The 24,363-nt window shown below is 39.7% G+C and overlaps 1 protein-coding gene and 1 long non-coding RNA gene across 8 annotated transcripts in view, besides 3 other annotated features; one reads left to right on the top strand and one right to left on the bottom strand.

Moving 5' to 3' along the window:
• UST (uronyl 2-sulfotransferase) overlaps nt 1-24,363 on the bottom strand; it is a 329,961-nt gene that overhangs the window by 301,829 nt on the left and 3,769 nt on the right. The gene's annotated exons all lie outside the window — the stretch shown is intronic.
• On the top strand, nt 1,599-17,258 carry LOC107986659 (uncharacterized). Its single transcript, XR_001744408.2, has 2 exons — nt 1,599-14,330; nt 15,183-17,258. It is a non-coding gene; the product is annotated as an uncharacterized LOC107986659 (long non-coding RNA).
• Nucleotides 5,279-5,909: an enhancer, noted in NCBI's record as "NANOG-H3K4me1 hESC enhancer chr6:149090389-149091019 (GRCh37/hg19 assembly coordinates)". NCBI's record gives its function as "activates a minimal SCP1, AML or CMV promoter by ChIP-STARR-seq in primed H9 embryonic stem cells {active_cell/tissue: H9 hESC(primed)}" and the evidence as "EXISTENCE:reporter gene assay evidence [ECO:0000049][PMID:30033119]".
• Nucleotides 13,301-13,440: an enhancer, noted in NCBI's record as "active region_25238". NCBI's record gives its function as "activates an Ori minimal core promoter by ATAC-STARR-seq in GM12878 lymphoblastoid cells {active_cell/tissue: GM12878}" and the evidence as "EXISTENCE:reporter gene assay evidence [ECO:0000049][PMID:35858748]".
• Nucleotides 13,694-14,444: an enhancer, noted in NCBI's record as "NANOG-H3K27ac-H3K4me1 hESC enhancer chr6:149081854-149082604 (GRCh37/hg19 assembly coordinates)". NCBI's record gives its function as "activates a minimal SCP1, AML or CMV promoter by ChIP-STARR-seq in naive H9 embryonic stem cells {active_cell/tissue: H9 hESC(naive)}" and the evidence as "EXISTENCE:reporter gene assay evidence [ECO:0000049][PMID:30033119]".

Raw genomic sequence — 24,363 nt, 5'->3', positions numbered from 1 at the left:
GGCCTAGGAGGGACGGAGAGGATAGCATATGTATGTTTAAGATATTCTCAATATTGGGAAACCCTTGTTAGAGGTGAGATCATTATGAAGTCAAGGAGGAATTAACAAGCTTTTCTTTCATGCACTCTTTTTTTTTTCTTTGAGATGAAGTCTCACTCTGTCAGACTCCAGGCTGGAGTGTAGTGGCGTAATCTCGGCTGACTGCAACCCCCGCATCCCAGGTTCAAGTGATTCTCCTGCCCCAGCCTCCCCAGTAGCTGGGATTACAGGCGCCTGCCACCATGCCTGGCTAATTTTGTATTTTTAGTAAAGACGGGGTTTCACCATGTTGGTCAGGCTGGTTTCGAACTCCTGACCTCAGGTGATCCGCCCACCTTGGCCTCCCGAAGTGCTAGGATTACAGGCGTGAGCCACCGCACCTGACCTCATGCACTCATTTTTCTCTGAAATTCACAAATCCTCTAAAAAATGCTGAAAAGAAAGTCTGAGTAACAAATTTTTCAGCTTGTATTTTCATTCCATTCCCCCCACAGATTTTTGTTCTAACAGATTATACTTCACGCTTGAAATTACTGTATTGATCTCTCTGTTCTATTTCTACATGACAAAACTATGTAGGTAAAGTAAAATTCATTTAAAAAATATTCTTGTGACCATAATGCTTTAAAAGTTTAAACTATATATCCTGAATTTGAGTTATTATTAAGATTACCTTTGTTTCACAGTTGATCAAAACAATATAAAGATTTTACACATTTCACAAATAATTAAAATCAAAAGTGGAATTTGATCATAAATACAGTGAATAGGGCCTTGTCTATAAGTAAATTTCACTGATTTCAATTTTATTCCTATTTATTCATTATATTTTTATATATATATATATATATAAAATAACCTTGTTCGCTTTAACAGACAGGAATGGAGAGTGTTTAGTTATAGCCGTGTCACACGCTTCTTTAACATCTTTCTAAATCCCATAGTGATCTGTTGGTGATCTACCTGAGGGGATAACTAGATTAGATCCTCCTTCACTTTGGTTGAAAGCCAAGAATAGGAGCCACGTGACCTGCAAAAGGGTTTGCTGTAGTCACTAGTCATTCACTTTCTCCATGCCAGGATTTTGAATTCTTCCTTTGGTACCTGGAGGTGTTTGACACCAGCATAGAGTCAGATAAGCTTCTTTATAAAGTCGGGGAGGACAGAGGGAAGCTGGTGGGAATTGGGCCGCAAGACAAGTTCTCAGGGAGATCAATTTTAGGGAAGAATAATCTGGCAGCAGACATTTGGCAATTTGATTCCTCTTAGACAATCCCTGCTCAACGCCCATCCCGCTGGAAGTCTTTGCGTTCATGGCGCCCCACGTACAAAAAAATGCTATTCTGAGCCCTAAACCTGGCATTTGGTGCAAATTCACACCTTCACTCTGACATCTGTCCCTCACACTGTCCTTTTGTTCAGTGTAAAACAAAAGTATGGATGCCCTACAAAAATATGTGAACAAAATGTCACCCAACGGAAAGAATTTGAATATTTACCTTTCCCTGTGTACTAAAAGAAATGTAGTTTTGTGTGTGCATAGAAAACAGTCTTCTGGGATTTGCATTTACCTCATTTATACTTGAAAAATAAATTAGACTCTTAATACATACATGTCATATAATTCCAAACATGAAAAACAATCACTTTTTTTTTTTTTTGAGACAGAGTTTTGCTCTTGTCACCCAGGTTGGAGTACAGTGGCACAATCTTGGCTCACTGCAACCTCTACTTCCCGGGTTCAAGCGATTCTCCTGCCTCAGCCTCCTGAGTAGCTGGGATTAAAGGCATCTGCCACCACAGCCGGCTAATTTTTGTATTTTTGGTAGAGATGGGGTTTCACCATGTTGGCCAGGCTGGTCTCGAACTCCTGACCTCAGGTGATCCCACCCATCTCAGCCACCCAAATTGTTGGGATTACAGGCGTGAGCCACCAGACCTGGCCAACAATCACCATTTTAAAATTCATATAAATTTAGGTAAAATTAAAAGATATGGAAATTTAAGTCTCAAATTGTAATGCACTTTATAATTCTTTCAACATAGATCCTATTTTCTATAATTTTTTTTAAAATTCCTTAAACAATTTTGTGAGATCACGTACCCACCAATGCCTAGAATAAGAATATGTCAAGACTTGCAAAAGTTTGCTGAATTGGAAAAAGAGGTTCGCAAAAAAATGTTAATAAAGTTGTTGAAAAATAGTAAAATCAATTCCATCCTCTAATTGACAACTATTGTAAAATTGGAAGTATGTTTGATCTTTTCTTAAAAGTTCCTCTAACAGATAAGGTTTTAAGACATTCAAAATATGTTCATTTGGAATTTCCCCCTCTGAGAAAGATTCTGGCCCAGATCTCATGTCTTAGGGATGGGGAGTAACACTGAAAGCTCAGAAGGGGCTGGACACGGTGGCTCAACCTGTAATCCCAGCACTTTGGGAGGCCGAGGTGGGAGGATCACTTGAGGCCAGGAGTTTGAGACCAGCCTGACCAACATATCGAAACCCTGTCTCTTCTAAAAATGCCAAATATTAGCCGGGCATGGTGGTGCACACCTGTAATCCCAGCTACTTAGGAGGCTGAGGCATGAGAATCGCTTGAACCCAGGAGGCAGAGGTTGCAGTGAGCCAAGATTGTGCCACTGCACTCCAGCGTGGGTGACACAGCAAGACTCCAACTCAAAAAAAAAAAAAGGTCAGAAGGGCCCACCCAAGGTAAGTTCTCCACCAGGCCCAGCCAACCCCAAGCAGGCTGCTCAGTAAGAGGGAAGAAGGAACCAGCACATCGCCTGGCTCCTTAATCACCCACCCAGTGCGATTCACACTGATTTGTTATACCTTGGGCACATAGCATCCTTCAACTGACTGCTATCCTGTTCCTGCCAAAAATAAGGCTGCAGAAACCGATAAAGAGAAACCACCAGGCACAAACTCAATATTCTATTCTCTCTCCTTTCTAAACACATAAAACCAATGAAAAGTAGGACACCTAAACTGTAAAGGTTCAGCTCCCCAGGGAAATACCACCACTGAGCTGTGGTTTGATATTATGCTTTCACTTTTATAAACAGCCAATGTATAGTGCAGCCTCATGAAGAACATGTCCCCATTTCTGGGGAAAAAAAAATATTGAAGGAGGTATTGTCCCTATGATTCTCTAAGATCGAATAGATATCTCCTTTTGGGGGAGGTAGGAAGACAGAGGCCACCCTTTCCCAATGAGCTAGTGTGCACCTTAGACTGGACAATGGTAACATATGATACATTTCACTCCCTTTTTGCTTTGACCTCCAGAAAATTCAGCTACAAATTTAGTAGTTACCTGCAAAAACTCTCTCATTTCAGGTACATGTTATAATTACCTTAGTAAACATATATCATCCAATAAATTCTAGACCATGTGTAAGTTCAGACAGGCTCAGTTGGGGCATGGAGCACCTGTTAGAGCTGTTTTCTTCTTCATCTCTTCTCTAGAAAGATGCCTTTAAATTCTAATAGTCGACTCATTATCTAAAGGACTATCCACCTACCCACTCCATCTCAGCACAGTTCAATTTTCTGTGACCTAGACTTACTCTCTTCCAACTATATTTTAACAAAATTAAAGATGTAGAAACTTGCTTCTGGTTTAGAAACAAAAATGACTGGAACATTTTGCTTTAGACCTCTCCAGAGCAGGTGGCAGAACAGGGTGGGGCTGGATGTCATCCAACAAGCGTTGGAAGGCTGAACAGCTCTACAAAAAGCTACGCTCAGAATGCAAGCTCAACAGCCACAGCCTATGCGACTTTAGGTAAAATGGAAGCAGAGCCACTTCTATAATCTTCAATAATGGCACAAAGAAAATAAATCTGCCTTACTCAATAAAGAGTCATTTCCAAACAGCAAGAAATTACAGCCTCAATGCCAACTTAATCTATGACAAAATGGTATGATCAAAGTTATTGAAATAACTGAAACATAAATTAAGATATGTTATATCCTATCCTAATAAAAGCACACTGGAGATTTTTCTTTCCATTTTAGCTAATCAGAAAAAACAAACCATCAGCTTGTAGAAGGCTATCATAACAGGAAAATGTCAGCAACAAGGCACAGTGACATCACTCTGTTCTACTAAATCAATACCTGCAGGATAAAAGTTGTTTGTCTTGTCAAACTTTTTTTTTTAATCAAGATTAAAGTTACTTTGAAAGTCAAATCTCATTTAAAAAGTTGGAAAAATATTTCAGTATTTTGCTGAAATATGCTTCCCTGTGGCATGAGGCGAAAAGGCAAAGGACCTCGGTGACATGTTGACCTCTCCCTCTGCCCGCTGCACCAGCTGAGCAACCCAGGGCCATTCATGTCTCTGAATTCAGGCTCCTTGTCTGCAGAGGAAGCTTAACACCCACCACTCAGGAGAGGGAAGAGGTGCACGTGACAACAAAGGTGCAAGTACTTTATAAACTGTAAAGCACTGTTCAAATATGAGGACTGTATCAGACGCCTGCCCTAGGCTCTCTCATGGCTTCAGCTCTTCCTTTCTGTTTATAGAGTTGAGTTTGTGAATAAGAAATCTGCTCTCACTCTGTGGTCTAAAAATGTTCGGTGGCTTCTCATTGCATACCAGTTAGTGTAACGTACAAGTTCCTTTTACTGTAGGCGCCTACCTTGCAGCAACCCTCTTCCCTTCCCCTACCATGGTTTCTGGCCAGCCACTCTGTACTGCTTCGTGTGCCCAAAAATGCCACAATTTTGCCCAGTGGCTTGCCTTTGCACGTGCTCTTCTTTCTAGAATCTAGAATGCCCTTTTCCCACATCTTTACATAGAAAATGCCTATTTATGCTTCAATGCCCAGCTCAAGTGTCACCTTTTCCCTGAATCCCTCTCCTTCTCTCTTCTCCTCTGTGCTCCCCATGTTATGTGGGCAAATCTCTATTACCAATAATGTCTGCACGAAGATGATGAATTTATACACATCTGTATCAGAGGCTAGACTAGCAGCTCTTGCAAGAACCTTTATGTCATTAGCACACTCAATTTTTTTAATCTTGAAAAAATTAAAATCTTATCCAATGATCGCAGGGTCAATGTTTTAGAACTCTTAATCGTTCTTTACAATTTAAAGTGAGGCAGTCAGAGATCTTAGGACATACAGAAAATTTTTATCTAGTCCTTTGAAAGAACAGGAAATGCATAAAAATAGCCAGTAAACGAAAATGTAATTTACATAATCTTAGAAGGTCTTTTCCTATAAAAAAAAAAAAGTGACAGAAAGAGTAGGGATCTATACAACAAACAACCACTGTTTGTGAATGCCTAGCGGCAGAATTTTTATGAGTTTGTTTGAAGACAACACACACACACACACACACACACACACACACAAACACAGGCTCCTACATTCCTATACTCCCATCTGCCACCTGCTGTGCTCAGGCTTCTGAATGACTGACTAAACTGAAGACATGTATGTGTATTAACAGGTATTACAAATGCAAATTTCCACAGTATTCTAGGCTGGAGAATACCACACAGCAGTCTCTTTATAATTTGATGGTGGTGTTATAGAACAGAAAGAGTCCCTCTAAAGTTCCAACAGAGACTCAGAGAGGTTAAGTGAATTACCCAAGGTCACACAGCTGCACGGTGGCAATGCCAGGACACAAACAGAAGACTTCTGATTTGAAGCCCAATGTTTTGTTAACACTACACTGCCTCTTGTGATATGAAACATCCCGTTAAAGGCAAATTCACAGAAGAAAATGTAATTTCCTAAACAGAAAATATACCTCTACTGGTCCATCTTGTTGGCCTTTAAATGTCTGTGGTGCCTTGAATTTTGTAGACATTAAAAAGGACCACAATTCACAGGAACTAAACAAATGATCACCATCTAGCTGCTTATACAAATAGTGTTCAAATGAGTGCTGTCTGTGTTCCTGAGATACCCCAAACAGACAGCCAGGCTGTTGTTGAGGAGCTCACCCAAAGGGTGTATGTGCAAGGCTGCATGCAGCTGTCCAGGGGTTGTGTTTTTTGCTCAAGACCCAGTAGGAATCCAGGAGGCTGAGATCCATACAGTTACCCAATCCTGCACATGGGCAATCCAGGCCAACAGAGGTCCAGGGAGGACAGTGGCCATGTCTGCCTGGCCTGAGAGCTAGCAACTACAGGTTCCACAGATGTGGGGACAAAAGTTCTCTCCAGGAACAAGGGCATCTGTGGACCTGTGCTGAGAATCATAGCTGAGAGAGGCAGCAGAAGGGAGAGGCCCAAGCACAGGTTCTAGTATCGCGAAGAGGGACCAGATGGCCTCAGAAGCACTCCCACTGCCAAAATTTAGGATCAAACAACAAACAGGGCTTTCAAAAGTCCTCTAAAAAGCTTTCAACTCAAATCAATTCATTTTAATGTTTTAAAAATTCATTTACTGTTAAAGAAGGATATCATTCAAAATGACGACTTTGTTTCCAGACAGACATGCAGTATCATTGAGTTAATTTACTTTACACCAAAATAAATGCCAATGGGATTTAAAAAGTAAATGAAAAAGTGAAATAACAATAGAATGAGAAGAAAATATAGAGAATTTGTATCTGATGGGATATAAGTCTTTTCTAAGCCTAAAAGCAAAGAAAAGAATAATAAATGGGAAAATGTAATTAATGCACAGGAAAAATAAAAGAAACTGACTTTTAGAACAAAAGGACAAATAAAAAGCCAGGAAATTATTACTTGCATGTATGTCAAAGGGTTAATATCCTTCATCTCTAAAGAACTCTTAGAATTGATAAGAGAAAGAGGAACACATCTATAGAGAAAAATTGCAAAAGAAATTTAAAACTGCAATTCCCAAAAGAAGACCCATGTCTTACAAGCATAAACTGGTTCACTTTCACTAATATTGAAACAAATGCAAATTAAAGAATAAGAGTATCATTTTCACCAATCAAATGAGTAAAGGATTTTTAAAAGATTGCATCCAGTGTTTTTAAGGGTATAGGCAAAACAGGTAATAGACTCCTAGTGAAATATACAAAGCCATATCAATGTGCCGGTTTGTAAAATCAGTTTAAAAATTGGTATACATTTAACCAGCAATTCCAAGTCTAGGAATTTATCCCAAGGCAATAGGGAAGTCTGCAACAATTTAATAATGTTCATCACAACCTTACCTACAACCACAAAAAAAACTAGAAATGGGCCAAATATCAAAAAAGCCTTCTTATAGGAATTAATAGTATATTCACAGGCCACTCTGCCACCATGAAAACCAATGTTGTAAAAAAATATATAAAGATGTGAAACGATATCTATGATACTACAGAGTGGAGGAAGCATGTAACCAAAGCAGTTGTGAACAAAGAAATTAATGTGTGTTTTATTTTCTTTGTGCTTTTTTCCTGTATCCCAGTATTTTACAATGAGCATGTATTAACAGTTTTAATTAATTCTTAAAATTGTGTTTTTAAATAATTACACAGAGTCATTCTAATTATTCACTCTATGTGCATCCAATTATTTTCTCTGGCTATAAAAAAAAAACTTTACCTAGAATATTTGTATGTCAGGAAACTTTGGTAATGAATTTTGATAGTATGCCTAACAGTCAAACGGTAAAACGGTACCGAATCTGCAACAACTATTTGAAGAAACTTCATCTCTAAGACCAGTTGGTTTGCTCTCAATGCTTATTAACAAACTTGACATTAGGTCAAAATCTGTATGTTCACAAAACTCCAAATAGCCTATATTTTAATACTATAGTTTCCAAAGATAAATAAAAACAGCCATTTTAAACTTGAAATCATACAAGGGTGTGATTCTCACTTAAGAAATACTTAATGTTCTTAAATTGGAACAATCAAACTGGTGAATGAAAATTCAGTTTAAAAGATATCTATGAAATGCTTAATAGCACAGATCTTTAATGAGCTAAGCTGAACCCTGACATATTTGTTGTTTACAGGTATTCATTATTTCCCAGAAATGCTATGGTATAGACCCTTGCTACTCAAAATGTGGCCCTCCAACTGCAACCTCAGCTACACCTGGGTGCTTGCTGGAAATGCAGAATCTCAAGCCCAGTTCCAGACCTGCTACATCAGGATCTATAGCTTAACAAATCCTCGAGTGATTTGCATGCACATTAAAGTTTGAGAGATGCCAGAGTAGAGAAGCTGTAAGCTAAAGTGTTATAAGTCATAGACAAATAAAGATTATAGATTAAGATAAAGCATCCCTAAATAGTACTGTAAGAGGATTTACTGCACAAACAAAACTCTCCGACCCTGTATCTGCTACAGTGGTTCTTTACTTTGGTTGCATATTAGAATTACCCATGGAGCTTTTAACACATACACCCTTGACCAAATGAACACATATCTGTATTCTCCAAAGTTCTCCAGGTTATTCTATCATGCAGCCAGTCTTGAGTACCTCCTGATCTACTAGCATCAACAGGGCCTTTAGGAAAGAGATAATCAGTCTAACCATATCCAGGCATGACCAATCACTGCCTCTACTACCTCTTTTAACTCCCCCTGTTCAACACACCTCATACGGGATCTTAAGTCCTTCTCTGTCCCTCCAGGTACAACACAGCCCCATGAATACGGTGATTATCTTAGCACTCAGCATATAACTGGTGCTTGATGAGCATTTGTTGAAGGAATGAACCTGTCTAGATGGAAAAGAAAACAGAGGAAGACTGCCAAGCTAAATATAAAGGAGGGCAAGTGGGTGCGTGGGTGAGAGCAAGTGGGTGAGTGGGTGAGAGCAAGTGGGTGAGTGGGTGAGAGTGATAGGAGAACATGTGTCTCTGATCCTTTAAGGCTCATTGATGTGAGACTTCAATGAAGAATAAGCCTTGTGAGCAAGACTTACTCTGCAATTAACAAAGTCAACTATCATTCTGACAAGGTGACAGGGAAAAAATCTGGGGAAGAGAGGCTATATTTTGGCACAGAAACGCATTATGCCATAAAACAAATGAAGTATGAAGATATAAGCCTAACCAAAACCATACGATCATCTCAACAGCTGCAGAAAAAGCATTCCATAAAATCTAACATCTTTTCATGATAAAAGCCCTCAACAAACTAGGCATCAAAGGAACATACCTCAAAATAATAAAAGCCATATAGGACAAACCCACAGCCAACATCATACTGAATGGAGAAAATTTAAAAGAACTTCCCCTATGAACTGGAACAAGACAAGAATGCCAACTCCCACTACACTATTCAACATAATAGTAGAAGTCCTAGCCAGAGCAATTAGGCAAGATGCTGCAGGAAGTCAGGGACCCCGAACGGAGGGACAGGCTGAAGGCAGAAGAACATAAATTGTGAAGATTTCATGGACATGTATTAGTTCCCCAAATTAATACTTTTATAATTTCTTATGCCTGTCTTTACTACAATCTCTGAACATAAATTGTGAAGATTTCATGGACATTTATCACTTCCCCAATCAATACTCTCATGATTTCCTATGCCTGTCTTTACTTTAATCTCTTAATCCCATCATCTTCGTAAGCTGAGGATGTATGTCACCTCAGGACCCTGTGACGATTGTATTAACTACACAAATTGTTTGTAGAGCATGTGTGTTTGAAAATTACCGATGTCATTTTTCACAGAATTAGAAAAAACAATCCTAAAATTTATATGGAACCAAAAAGACCCTGAATAGTCAAAGCAATCCTAAGCAAAAAGAACAAAGCTGGAGGGATAGCATTATCTGAATTCAAATTATACTACAAGATGATAGTAACCAAAACAGCATGGTACTGGTACAAAAACAGACATATAGAGCAATAGAAGACAGTAGAGAACCCAGAAATAAAGCCACATACCTACAACCAACTGATCGTAAACAAAGTTGGCAAAAATATACAATGGGGAAAGGATACCCTATTCAATAAGTGGTGCTGAAACAATAAGTGGTGTTTGAACAATATGAAATCTGGGCACCTTAAGAACAGGATAACAGCGATTTTCAGGGAACAAGGGAGATAACCTTAAAGTCTGGCTGCCTTTCTCTTATTACCCAAAATGGGTAAGAGAAATACCGCTAAATTCTTTCCCCAGTAAGGAATATTAATAATTAACAGCGTTGGGAAAAGAATGCATTCCTAGGGCGGGGCCTCTAAAATGGGTGCCCTGGGAGTGTCTGCCTTATGCAGATATAGATAGGGATGAAACACACCCTAGTCTCCTGCAGCACCCCCAGGCTTGCTAGGATTAGGAAATTCCAGCCTGTCAAATTCTAGTCAGACCGGTTCTCTGCTCTTGAACCCTGACATTGTGTGCACAGCAGGACATGGAAGTTCATTAGTGATTCTAGTTTCGCCCTGACCTTCTGCCTTGTGACCTTTTGTTGCCCTTGAAGCATGTGATCTCTGTGACCCACACCCTATTCATGCACTCCCTCCCCTTTGAAAACTGCTAATAAAAACTTGCTGGTTTTACAGCTCAGGGGGCATCATGGAACCTGCCGACATGTGATGTCTCCTCCGGACACCCAGCTTTAAAATTTCTCTCTTTTGTACTCTTTCCCTTTATTTCTCAGACCGGCCGACACTTAAGGAAATAGAAAAGAACCCACGTTGAATTATCGGGGGTGGGTTCCCCTGATAGCAAGAGAAAGAAATAAAAGGCATCCAAATTAGAAAAGAGGAAGTCAAATTATCTCTGTTGGCTGATGACATGATCTTATACCTAGAAAACCCTAAAGACTCCTCCAAAAGACTTCTAGATTTGATAAATTACTTCAGTAAAGTTTCAGGACACAAAATCAATGTACAAAAATCAGCATTTCTATACACCAATAATGTTCAAGCTGAGAGCCAAATCAAGAACTCAATATCATTTACAATAGCCACAAAAAATAATAAAACTCCTAGGAATGCATTTAACCAAGGAGGTGAAAAATCTCCACAAGAATTATAAAACATTGATTAAAAAAACTGTAGATGACACAAACAAATGGAAAAGCATCCCAAGCATGTGGATTGGAAGAATCAATATCATTAAAATGCCCATACTATCCAAAGTAACATATAGATTACATGCAATTCCTATCAAATTACCGATGTCATTTTCACAGAATTAGAAAAAACAATCCTAAAATTCATATGGAACCAAAAAGACCCTGAATAGTCAAAGCAATCCTAAGCAAAAAGAACAAAGCTGGAGGGATAGCATTATCTGAATTCAAATTATACTACAAGACTATAGTAACCAAAACAGCATGGTACTGGTACAAAAACAGACATATAGAGCAATAGAAGATAGTAGAGAACCCAGAAATAAAGCCGCTTACCTACAACCAACTGATCATAAACAAAGTTGGCAAAAATATACGATGGGGAAAGGATACCCTATTCAATAAGTGGTGCTGGAAAAATTGGACAGCCATATGCAGAAGAATGAAACTGGACCCCTTTTCTTACCATATAAAAAGTTAACTCAAGATGAATTAAAGACTTAAAGGTAAAACCTGAAACTATAAGAATCCTAGAAGAAAACCTAGGAAAAACTCTTCTGAACATTGGCCTGGGCAAAGAATATATGGCTAAGCAATGCAACAAAAACAAAAATAAACAAAAGGGACTTAATTAAACTAAAGAGCTTCTGTACAGCAAAGAAAGAATCAACAGAGTAAACAAACAACTTGCAGAAAGGGAGAAAATATTTGCAAAAATGCATCCCACAAAGGACTAATATCCAGAATCTATACAAGGAACTCAAATAACTCAACAAGAAAAAAGCAAATAACCCTATTAAAAAGTGGGCAAAGGACATGAACAGACATTTTTCAAAAGAAGATATACAAGCAGCCCACAAAAATACAAAGGAGAAAATGCTCAGTATCACTAATTATCAGAGAAATGCAAATTAAAACCACAATGAGATACCATCTCACACCAGTCAGAATGACTAGTATTAAAAAGTCAAAAAACAACAGATGTTGGCAAGGATGGGGAGAAATGGGAACATGTACACACTGTTAGTGGGAATGTAAATTAGTACAACCTCTGTGGAAAACAGTATGGAGATTTCTCAAAGAACTAAAAATCGAACTACCATTCGACCCAGCAATCCCACTACTGGGTATCTACGGGAAGGAAAAGAATCATTCTATCAAATAAACACCTGCCCTTGTATGTTTATCATAGCACTATTCACAACAGCAAAGTCAGGGAATGAAACTAACTGTCCATCAACAGATGACTGGATAAAGAAAATGTGGTCTATATACAGATGTCTTTTGCAGCAACAGGAATGGAGCTGAAGACCATTGTCCTAAGTGAAGTAACTCAGAAACAAAAACTCAAATACCACACATTCTCACTTAGAAGTGAGAGCTAAACAATGGGTACACATGGACATACAGAGGGAAATAACAGACAATGGGGACTCTCAAAAGCAGGGAGGGAGAAAAGGCTTGATGATTGAAAAATTACCTTTTGTGTACAGTGTTCACTATTTGGGTAATGGGTACACTAGGAACCCAAACCTCACCATTATGCAATATACCCATGTAAAAAGCATGCACTTATACTCCCTGCATCTATTAAAAAAAAAAAAAAAAGATAGAAGCCTGCCCAGCAACCAAATTCAGCTCTAGCAGTTTCTCCTGACCACGCTAGGAAGCACCCCTGAAAACATGGCTAAACATACACTCTATGACAGAGTTTGGGTCAGAGACAGAGTGCCACCATGGTAACTGCATACATTTCAAGACCCTTGCATAAAAAGCACATGCCTCTCTTCAGCCACAAGGAATAGGAAAGAAAGACAAAGATGCTTGAATAAAGTATTCTCCAAATACATTTGAACAATTCATCATCTTATGAGACCCAAAATATTATCACTGATATCCTTTGCCCAGGTGAAAAGAGGAGACAAAAGCCAGAGGTTATGGATCTTAACAAATATTTCCTGTTCCCTCCCTTTAGTTTCTGGGAAAACTCTTTATCTCGCAGCACGAATGAAGAATATAACTACAAACATTTCAGGGTCTCTCAGGCCTTGGATCTCTGCTCTACAAGCAAACAAGAACAGCCTTTTGAGTTGGGAAATGCATGAGCAAAGAAAACAAGGTGGCCTCAATCCTGTTATCTGCCAAAACAAAATAAAGACACTGCGCCATTTGGTTTTTATATTTATGTGGTTTTCTGGAATCGTTTCTCCATTTTTACTTTTGTGTCCCATGCAGCTGTTAGAGAGCTGCTTCTATGGACTGTTGGGAGAGCACGCAACACATTTTCAAGAGTAACCCATGTTAACCCCGCACTGCTGAAGTTGGCTCCACACTCGGGGGTTATATCAACATTTCCTCCTTCAAGCAGATCTTCCACACAGGAACTCCTCCCTCCACCTGCTAAGAGGTGACCACACCACAATCCCCGGGCCAGGCTGGCAAGGCTGCAGGGGTGAGTGTGGCCAGGCCCAGGTTGCTCAGGTGCCCACCCTCCTTCCTCAGCCCTGCCGGGCATTCTCCACCAATCGGCACTTTCTGGTTTCTTCCCCACTGTGGTAAAAATAACTTCCTCTTGAAGTATCTAAATCTGTATGTGATTTTACACACTTTTTTTTTTTTTGGCACGTTGTCGGATGAATTCTGACACTAAAGCAGAATGAAATTGCAAGAGATCTGCAATCACATTTCTGTAAAGCTCTGACCAGATGAGTCAGTTCCACTGTTTTCTCAAAGACTGAGAAAATACTTTCAGGCAAGACACTGCATTCTAAGCACCACAGCAGTTCCTTCTCCCCTAAGCTTCTTAGGAACTTGGCAGTGTGGTAGATGGAGGGAGGCGGAGCAGAAGGCAGGGTGCTGTTTGTTGTGATCTGCCCATGGCTTACTGGCTGTGTTCTGAGCAGAGAGGGCGTCTCAGGGGACCCATCAACCCACATCGACGTGGCTCCCAGAACTTGGCCGCACGTGCTTGGAGGAGCTGAAGCAGGGTTCCAGCCAGCCCGCTGGGGGCCTTGAAGTAAGGCTCTGTTGCACTCCTGCTAACACCCTCAGAAAAGCGGTGGGAGGAGCAGTCATTCTCAAATACCACAGCTTCGAAGAGGATCCCTTCTGACAGTAACATACCACTGCACAAAGCAGGCTCACTGAGGGAACTGGAAAACTGTTCAGTTCTGTGGCTTTTACGGGCCATGTAGACAGAGGAAGGGGGCTAAGATGTGTAAGGGAATCAAAACCATTTCATTTCTCTTTGTGCTTACTGGCCAGCCGTGTCTCCTCTTCTGTGACTGCTCCTGTACTCTGCCCATTTATCTCGTGAGTTGGTTTATCTTTTTCTCATTGATAAACTGAACTTTTAAAGACCTGCATATTAGTTCTATTTCCTGGGGAGATGTTTGTGGTTTTTTTTTGTTTTGTTTTGTTTTGTTTTGTTTTGTTTTGCTATGGTTATGGGGTGTTACTGTTGAGCTTTCACTTTAATATAGTTTTTTTTTTCTTTGTGGTTTTTACTTTCTGTGTCTTCAAATGACTTCTGATGAGAAAGTACTGGTAAACAGACCTATTTGTCTGGACAAGATTTATGTGTGTAGCAGAGCAGGGTAGACATAATAGTCATTTTAGTATCTTCAATTATTTGAAGACTATAAAGTCCAATAGACAAGCCTATATAGCTTCCAGAAGAACAGCAAAAAATGGATGGAGGCTAGAAAGGAGTAGCTCACCACACTGTGAAGAACCCTCTTACCCACTGGAGCTGCCCACAGTGAAATGGGATGGTCAGTAGCAGGCAACCGGGAGGAGGCTGTGCAAATCCTCATCAACAACACAGCTTTCACCTATCACATAGTGAGACTCTAAACTCTGGAAACCCATGTCTTACTCTGCTTCTTCTCTCTTAGGACTTCCTGGGGACATTCTGCTTCCCCTAATTTCTAGAGCAAGTTCTGGCGGAGGTGGAGGAAACGCACTGCTGATTTTAATTTTAGAAAAAATTTAACTATGATTAAGACTCAGAAAATGACAACGATGGCCTAAAATGTTTTTGTGTATTCTACTTGCCTTGGTCACTTGACTTCTGCAATTTTTAAAATAAGTGTTTGGGTCCAAAGAAAATAGCCTTATATTTGTTTCAGTTGCTACAATTATATGACCTCTTGTCTCTTTCAGCACATGATTTGAAGAACAGCAGAGATCTTAGAACGATCTACTTCAGTGATTCTCAAGAGAAAAGAAACACTCTCCCCTGGGAGTGCACAGAAAAATTACCTCAGGGACTTTTTTTTTTTTTTTTTTTTTTTTGAGACAGAGTCTCGCTCTGTCGCCCAGGCTGGAGTACAGTGGTGCGATCTTGTCTCACTGCAAGCTCCACCTCCCGGGTTCACACCATTCTCCTGCCTCAGCCTCCCGAGTAGCTGGGGCTACAAGCGCCCACCACCATGCCCGGCTAATTTTTTGTATTTTTAGTACAGACGGGGTTTCACCGTGTTAGCCAGGACGGTCTCGATCTCCTCACCTTGTGATCCGTCCGCCTCGGCCTCCCAGGGAGCTGGGATTACAGGCGTGAACCACCGCGTACGCCGCATTCTTTTATTTTTTTATTTTTATTTATTTATTTATTTTGGGATGGAGTCTCGCTCTGTCGCCCGGGCTGGAGTGCAGTGGTGCGATCTCGGCTCACTGCAAGCTCCGCCTCCTGGGTTCATGACATTCTCCTGCCTCAGCCTCCCTAGTAGCTGGGACTACAGGCGCCCGCGACCACGCCCGGCTAATTTTTTTGTATTTTTTAGTAGAGACGGGGTTTCACCATGTTAGCCAGGATGGTCTCGATCTCCTGACCTCGTGATCCACCCACCTCGGCCTCCCAAAGTGCTGGGATTACAGGCGTGAGCTCAGGGACTTTTTTAAAAGGACTTCCAATGCCATGCCCTTTCTCCCTCTCCTGGCCACTGAGATGTATTCCCATAGGGACAGTCAAGACCCTATGGAAACACTGCTATGGATGAGGGTCCTAAGGAACGGAAACAGCTGAGAATCATGGATCTAATGAAACTCCTTCATTGTAGAGATGAAGACACTGAAGCCTTGGAGGCTCACATGACTTAACACCGACAACTGACTTATTGTCGGGTCACCCTGCACACCCAGGCCTAGTGCCCCCTCCATCCAGCCGCATGGCTCTGCCTGACGGTTCTGTTTATCCAATGGGAAGGCATTCATGTCAAACAGCCTTTGTGTTAAAGCAGGAAGCTCTGTGCTGGATGACAAGGTCAGGGTTTTTAAGGTCCCCAAACAAAATACAACTTTCTACGAAATAATGTAAAATCAGCATTTGCCTTCAACTGCTCAAGGAACTGGGTGATTGGCCATGCCAGATGGTATGGCTCTCACTTGCCGCAACACCTACTGGAGGCTAACAGAGCAAGGCAACACAGAGAGGCTGAGCTTGGGAAACAAGCAAGTGAAGACACAAGATCTGCTTCTGCGGTTCACTGCTCTTGCTCTGACTGTCAATGAGAGGGAAGTGGGAACTGAGAAAAGAAAGTGGGCGTACTACTGGACGTGGTAGTTTCGTCATGAATGGGGGAAGTTCTGGGAGCAGGCACAGTGTATGCCTGGCATTGTGATTATTTCTGAAAGGATGTATCTTATGGATCACTAGTGCAATCCTAGAACAGCTGGCTATCCCAGAGAGTAAGCGCCAGCATACTCCCTCCACACAGCTATTTTTATTTTGTGAATGCAGGAACAAAAAAAGTAGTGTGGATAAATTCAAAACAGAGGAAATCAGGCTGTGCAAAAAATGTGTCATTTAAAGACTATCTCCAGGAAGCAGAAGAGAAGAAGCAGGAAGGGGTACATATATGTAATTAGTGGGATGGATGAATTACCGGAACTTGTCAGGTGTTGAAGAGCCCTTGCCAAATACTAGTGAAGTAATTGTGTATTTCTAGGTTTGATTGCTTCTTTCAATTGGAAGTCAGGTTATCAGTGAATCTGTATACTCCCCCAGCTGTGTTCTGATATGAGTGTGTGTGTACACTCATATGTGTATGTGTGCTAAATGAAGAGGGAGTTAAAGGGAAGCAAAGAACAAGCTGAGAAAATTGGCAATTGTTGAACTTAAATGTCAGGCCTTGGGTTAGAGAAGTATCCTGTAAAACAGCAATTATTAATCCTATTGTATACATCAAAACATCAGAGGTTCAGAGAAGTTAATAAAATTATTCAAGCTGTCCCAGCTAATAAATGGTAACACAGTGCTTCACACCCGGAGCTCTGCTCCAAAACCTATATCCTTCCTACTGCCTGATGCTTCTGCCCCAAAGAAGGCCTTCCATGAATATTTGTTGAATGACTGAACAAAGGAATTCATATGTCTCAGAATATTCTCATTTTTCTTTCATCAAGATTATGAAAATTGTACTCCTTGAACTAAAAAACAGCAATGGTGTTTCCAGAAATGCAGTACAGTTAAAGGTAATAGGTTATTTAAATCATCTATTAATGAATTAACTAAGAATTGCCTAATCAAAGCCATGACTTAAGGTTATTATAGTATCTTTCACCAAACAAGTGTAAATGGGTTGGTGGATTGAGACCTAATTTTACAGTATGGTCGTGTTGCAGTTCTAGGTTAAACTCTGTTCAGTCCCTATTTCAAAAATCACATCATTCCACGGTCTCATCTCCTTCATGACTTAAAGTCATGCTTGAAACATACTGGCTAATTTAACACAAATTGCTACCTAAAGAAGACACTAACCTACAGAAATAACAGCTATTCTGCAAACTTCCAAAACAACTGGTCTAGGATTTCAGAAAATGACAAGTAACAAGAAGTTTGCATTCTAACTGTATGCACACAAATCTCTAAACTGATCTCAGCTATTCTTAATTACAGAGAGAGCTCTAAAAGTGTAATTCCAAATGCCCAAAGGTAAGAAGTGGACAGTTATCTCTGTGCACAGAAGGAAATGTTTGTGTTACCAGGTATGATGGCTTGTGCCTGTAGTCCCAGCTTCTCAAGAAGCTGAGGTGGGAGGATGGCTTGAGCCCAGGAGGTTGAGGCTGCAGTGAGCTCTGATGGCACCACTACACTCTAGAATGGGCAACCACCTCTAAACAAAACTATATGTACTCATATGTCATAAGTGGTTGTAATGTATTTGCTTGGAGCATCAGCTTCAAAGAGCAAGAAAGAAATAGGCTAAAGGCATCAACTGAGCTAGAGTCCTTCTTGGCATCCCTCCCCATATTCTCTAAATAGAGACCAAACAAAGCAGGATTTGGAATCCTAGTGAAGAACAGTTGCTCAGCAAATATACTGAATCAACAGCCACTTCCTGAGGGCCTGTGTGGAGCACCCAGAAGAGATGTCAGAGCAGGGATGCGAAGCACTGAATAAGCTTCCTCCCTTCAAGGTGCTTGCTCACAGATGATCACAATACAAGGTAGAATGTCAAAACTTCATAAGAGATCATGAAATAAACAAATACTTACAGGAGTTTAGAGATCCTAATTGGAATTGTACCTTCCTAAACAATCAGTACAAAGACATTAGCAGAAGTCTAAGCAGGCAGCGAGACAACAAAAATGAATCAGTGGCAGTTTTGGGGAAATTATAGACAATCAATATAAACCCTGAGACAGACCAAGAGGTATGGCGTAGCTTCAAGACTAAGCAGCTATATCTGGTTCCCTGGTAATTTTGAATGACAGTGTATTAGTCCGTTCTCATGCTGCTATAAGGACATACCTGAGAGTGGGTGATTTTTAAAGGAAAGAGGTTTAATTGACTCACAGTTCCACATGGCTGGGTATGCCTCAAGAAACTTACAATGATGGCAGAAGGGGATGCAAACACATCCTTCTTCTCATGGTGGCAGGAGAGAGAAGTGCTGAGCAAAGGGGAAAAGCCCCTTATGAAACCATCAGATCTTTGCAGCCATAAAAAAGGATGAGCTCATGTCCTTTGTAGGGACATGGATGAAGCTGGAAACCATTATTCTCAGCAAACTATCACAAGGACAAAAAACCAAACACCGCATGTTCTCACTCATAGGTGGGAATTGAACAATGAGAACACTTGGACACAGGAAGGGGAACATCACACACCGGGGCCTGTCGTGGGGTGGGGGGAGGGGGGAGGGATAGCATTAGGAGATATACCTAATGTAAATGACGAGTTAATGGGTGCAGCACACCAAGATGGCACATGTATACGTATGTAACAAACCTGCACGTTGTGCACATGTACCCTAGAACTTAAAGTATAATTAAAAAATATTACCATTTTTCACCTGGATGATTACCAGAACTATAGAGATGACATCTAGCTCTGTGGAGGTGGCAGGAAATGTGAATTATGTGTAAATTACTTCAACATTTTGATCTAAAATATTTAACAAAATTTAATAAATTAAAAATGCTCATAATTGGAATACTGGACCCCAGTAATCCAGTTTTGGGGAATGTGTATTAAAAAAAAAAAGAAAAAAAAAAGAAACCATCAGATCTCATGAGAACTCACTATCACAAGAACAGCATGGGGGTTAACCGCCCCCATGATTCAATTACCTCCCACAGGGTTCCTCCCACAACATGTGGGGATTATGGGAACTACAATTCAAGATGAGATTTGGGTAGAGACATAGAGGCAGACCATTTCAGAGAGTGTTGCCAATTATTCAAACTGAGGCCAAGCAGCATCTAATTGACTGCAGTTATTTTAGAGCTTCTTATTTTGATTATATATATTTTTGAAACCTACTAAAATTTTCTGTCATTTTTGTAAAAACAATATTTCTTCTTAAAACTCATAAGTTATTTTACTCAAGAGAAACATACGTAGCAAATACTGTTCCTATATATTTGTCCTTCATATTATACCACAACATGAATACAAAATAAATTGCATATGAATTCCAATTTCATGAGAATGCTTAAGATTTCCTTGGTTGCTTCATATATTGTATAAGGAACATAATAAACCCAAATGTTTTCTCCTGCTGAGCTCATCGGCTCCATTCTAGTGAGCAAATATAAAGACAAAATATAACCATTGTACTATAATCTGCTGTTCAAAAATTAGCTAAATTCATATTCCACATACAAGTCACAGCAATCTTTGTGACATCTCTAAAATAGGTTAAGTGTTAACTATCCATGAATTATCATACCTTAGAGATAAATGTAAAGTGTTTAATATTCAAAGTAATCCATAACTGTAAAACAAGACCCCCAGGATTCTTTAGAACAGATCCTTGTTTTCAATCCATCTTTAGAGTTTATTTAGGTTTTACTATATACCCAGGTACCGTACTTAACACTTTAAAACTCATTTACATATAAAACTAATTTCTTGCTCCTTGATAAGGTGAACACCTATAATATAGTGAACAATACATAACAGTATTGTATTTAAGTCAGTATCATATTTCCCAACCCCCAAATTAATAGCAAGATCATATATCTGAAAAGGGTCTACTGTTAAGAATATATAAATAATGTTTACAACTCAACAACACAAATACAAACAACCCAATTCAAAAATAGGCAACTGAGGTAACTCAGGAATGGAAAACTCAACATCATATGTTCTCACTCATAAGTGGGAGCTAAGCTATGAGGATGTAAAGGCATAAGAATGACACAATGGACTTTGGGGACTCAGGGAGAAAGGGTGGGAAGGGGGTGAGGGACAAAAGACCAGAAATTGAGTTCTGTGTATACTCCTTGGGTGACGAGTGCACAAAAATCTCACAAATCACCACTAAAGAACTTACTCACGTAACCAAATACCACCTGTTCCCCTAAAACCTATGGAAATAAATTTTTTAAAGAAAATCAGTGGCCGGGCGCGGTGGCTCATGCCTGTAATCCCAGCACTTTGGGAGGCCGAGGCGGGCGAATCACGAGGTCAGGAGATCGAGACCATCCTGGCTAACACAGTGAAACCCCATCTCTACTAAAAAATACAAAAAAATTAGCCAGGCATGGTGGCGGCCGCCTGTAGTCCCAGCTACTTGGGAGGCTGAGGCAGGAGAATGGCGTGTACCTGGGAGGCAGAGCTTGCAGTGAGCTGAGATCGCGCCACTGCACTCCAGCCTGGGCAACAGAGCGAGCCTCCAATCTCAAAAAAAAAAAAAAAATCAGCAAAATGTGAATAGACATTTTTCCAAAGAAGATATACAAACAGTCAACAAGCACATGAAAAGATACTCGACATCATTAATGCAAAACACAACGCCAATGAATATACCACTTCATACCCATTAAGATGGCTATAATAAAAAAATGGAAAATAAGAAATGGCAGTGAGGATGTGAAGAAATTGGAATTCTCATACTTTCTTGGCGGGGGATGTAAAATGGTGCAGCCACTGTAGAAACAGCTTGGCAGTTCCTCAATAACTTAAACTTAGAGTTACCATATGATTCAGCAATCCCACTCCTAGGTATATACCCATAAGAACAGAAAACAGGTGTTGAAACAAAAGCTTGCAACACAAATGTTCATAGCAGCACTACTTACAGTAGACAAAAGGTGAAAACAACCCAAATGTCCATTAATGGGTGAATGGATAAACAAAATGTGGAATATCCATACAGTCTTATGGAACATTTTATTCCGCAATAAAAAAAATTCTTAGGAAATATTATTCAGCCATAAAAAAGAATGAAGTACTGACACATGCTATAACATGAATGAACCTTGAAAACATTATGTCAAGTAAAAGAAGCCAATCACAAAAGACCACATATTATATTATTCTATTTCTATAAAATGCCAAGAATAGGCAAATCTATACAGACAGAAAGTAAATTAGCGGTTGCTTAGGACTGGGGTTGATGGGGCAAAAGTGTTGGATAAAGGGTATGGCGTTTCTCCTTGTGGTGATGAAAATCTAAAATTGTGGCAATGGTTACACATATCTATAATATATTAAAAGCTATTAAACTATTAAAAACTTTAAATGGGTGAATTATATGGTATATGAATTATATCTCAACAAAGCTGTTTAAAAACTAATAGCAAATGCTGAAATGTACTTTATTTGGAATTCTCTTGCAAAACAGTTGCTACATTGACTTTTGCAAATAAGAATTTTTGTGAAATGTTAGTGTTTCTGTCCCTATTTCTGATAAAAAGGGATTTATGTATATCACTGTTTGCTTAAAGCCGAGTTTCTATGTAATACAAATAAATATATTTATGACAAAATTAATTTGTGGTCAAGTCTTCTTTCCAAAAAACAAAAAAAAAGCAGCAACTCCTAATAATTCTAGCAGCTACAATCCATCAAATAAGATGCGTTTTCATTGTCCATCATGGACACCCACCAGTACAGCTGCAGGTCAAGCTACTGTTTTTGCTCCTTCAGTCTCCCTCTGAGGAAGCAAAAGATACTATTTATTTTGGGACTCAAAAACCTTGACCACTTTCTTTCCAGTTTCTCCAAAACAAAACTAACCACTGTCTTAAGCCTGGATTGATGACAGGGAATTTGAAGAAAGACAGTATTTAGATAATCCACATTTATATGTGTTCTTAGACAATTCATACTAAGACTAGTCTACATTAAAAAATAGTTTACAAGGCAGATTGCTTTTCACCATTCATGCTATTTGTTTACAGAACGGATTACCATAGCTGAATTCCATTTTCTATCCTTTCTCTAATATAGTGCCACTGTGTCCCCAACCAACCCCACAATATAAACTTGTAGCTATGAACAAGAATATCATTTTTTCTATGTCAACAATTTCTATTGATAACGTCATATTTTATGCATTCATTTCCTAGATTACTGTTTGGAGCCTAAAGTATTATATTTATACCATGTGTGAAATGCAGAAGAAAAATAAAATTTGGCTTTTTAGGTTCAAAGAAACTATTTTGTAACAGATATGGACCTCTATTTTCACATTTTCCTTTAAATGCACTTAAACTTAGAGAATTTCAAATTCAATAACATGACATACTTTTCATTTTTTGACTCTAAATTGCCAGGCTCATATATAATATACGTAAAGATTGGCAATTCTGAGAACTAAAGTTCTATATCTCCATTTAAAGTGGTATAAATTAAAAATGGAAAGGAAAGCATATCAGCTGGGAATGAGTCCAACAAGTTTAGCTCCCATAAAGTCTAAATCACATATCCAAGGCTGGATGATAGATCATTAGAGTTTGTCGGTTGTACAAGATCAGTAGTAAGCCATCTGGCTTATTCTGTTTATATCAATGAGTCTTATTCCAAGTTTTTGATATTTCCACAGCTCATAAGTAATAAGGCTACTGGCAGCAAGGCTGCATCATAACCTAATTTCTGGGGGAGATTTTATTTGATTTTTTGTTTGTTTTCCATAGCAAAACAAAGTTTGAATGCCATTTCAAAAAAAAAAAATTCACTGAATTGGAAAGACCATGGTCTCCAAGCTTAAGTGTAGCATTTGCTATATATTTCTATTTACCCCAATGTATGTTTGTGCTCCCCCTCCACCCAATCTCAGGGTGGGAAATCAAGATAACAGTTATCCTTGCATGATTTTCCTCCCCATCACTTCCTTTACTCTTTTCAAATGTGTTACAGCAGAACATTCTCTAAGTAGAACATACTCTGCCTTTCCCCAAATTGACTAGGAAGAAGGACTGTTCACCACTGTCTCCTATGGGGAAGAGAAAGCATCATCAGTGGCTCTGTTCTCGTCCTTCCCCACACTATGCTTTCCGGTTGCCCCACGTCAGCCTACTCCTCACGTCACACCTCTCCTAACCTTGGAAGGTCTAAAGCCAGCTGGGGTGGGTGCCGTTGGCTGGTCCTTCCCTCAAAACAGTGGGGCTTAAGTAGCAAACAAGATGCATTTTTAAAAGTTGAAATTAAAAACTGAAACCATGTACATTTTTAAATCACATTTTTAAATACTTTAAAGTATTAAAGTACCTTTAAATACTTTATAAATCTACCCACCCCGCCTCACATTCCTCCTTTCTCTCAAATACATGGGAAGCCTCCAGAAAGCAATACTTTGTTGTTGCTCAACAACAATGGTTCTCAAATTCTCTGCGTTGGAATCACCTAGAGGACTTGCTGACGCACAGATTGCTGGGCCCTGTGCCCAGACTTCAGCAGCTTTGGGATAAGACCTTAGCATGTACATTTGTGACAAATTCCCAGGTGAGGCTGATGCGGCAGGTCCAAGGACCCACATTGGGAACCACTAGCCTAGACATAGCACAACTGCTAAAGAAAGAGAAAACGCCCGGAAGATGCGAGTCCGACCAACATTACTCCCAGTTGTTGTCCAGCTCAGGGAGGGTCTAGTTCCCTAAATAAATGGAGGCC

This window comes from Homo sapiens, chromosome 6 (assembly GCF_000001405.40).
Source record: "Homo sapiens chromosome 6, GRCh38.p14 Primary Assembly".
NCBI classification, from domain to species: domain Eukaryota; kingdom Metazoa; phylum Chordata; class Mammalia; order Primates; family Hominidae; genus Homo; species Homo sapiens.
Note: the sequence above shows the minus strand (reverse complement) of the source record. Positions and strands in the feature narration are given on the sequence as shown.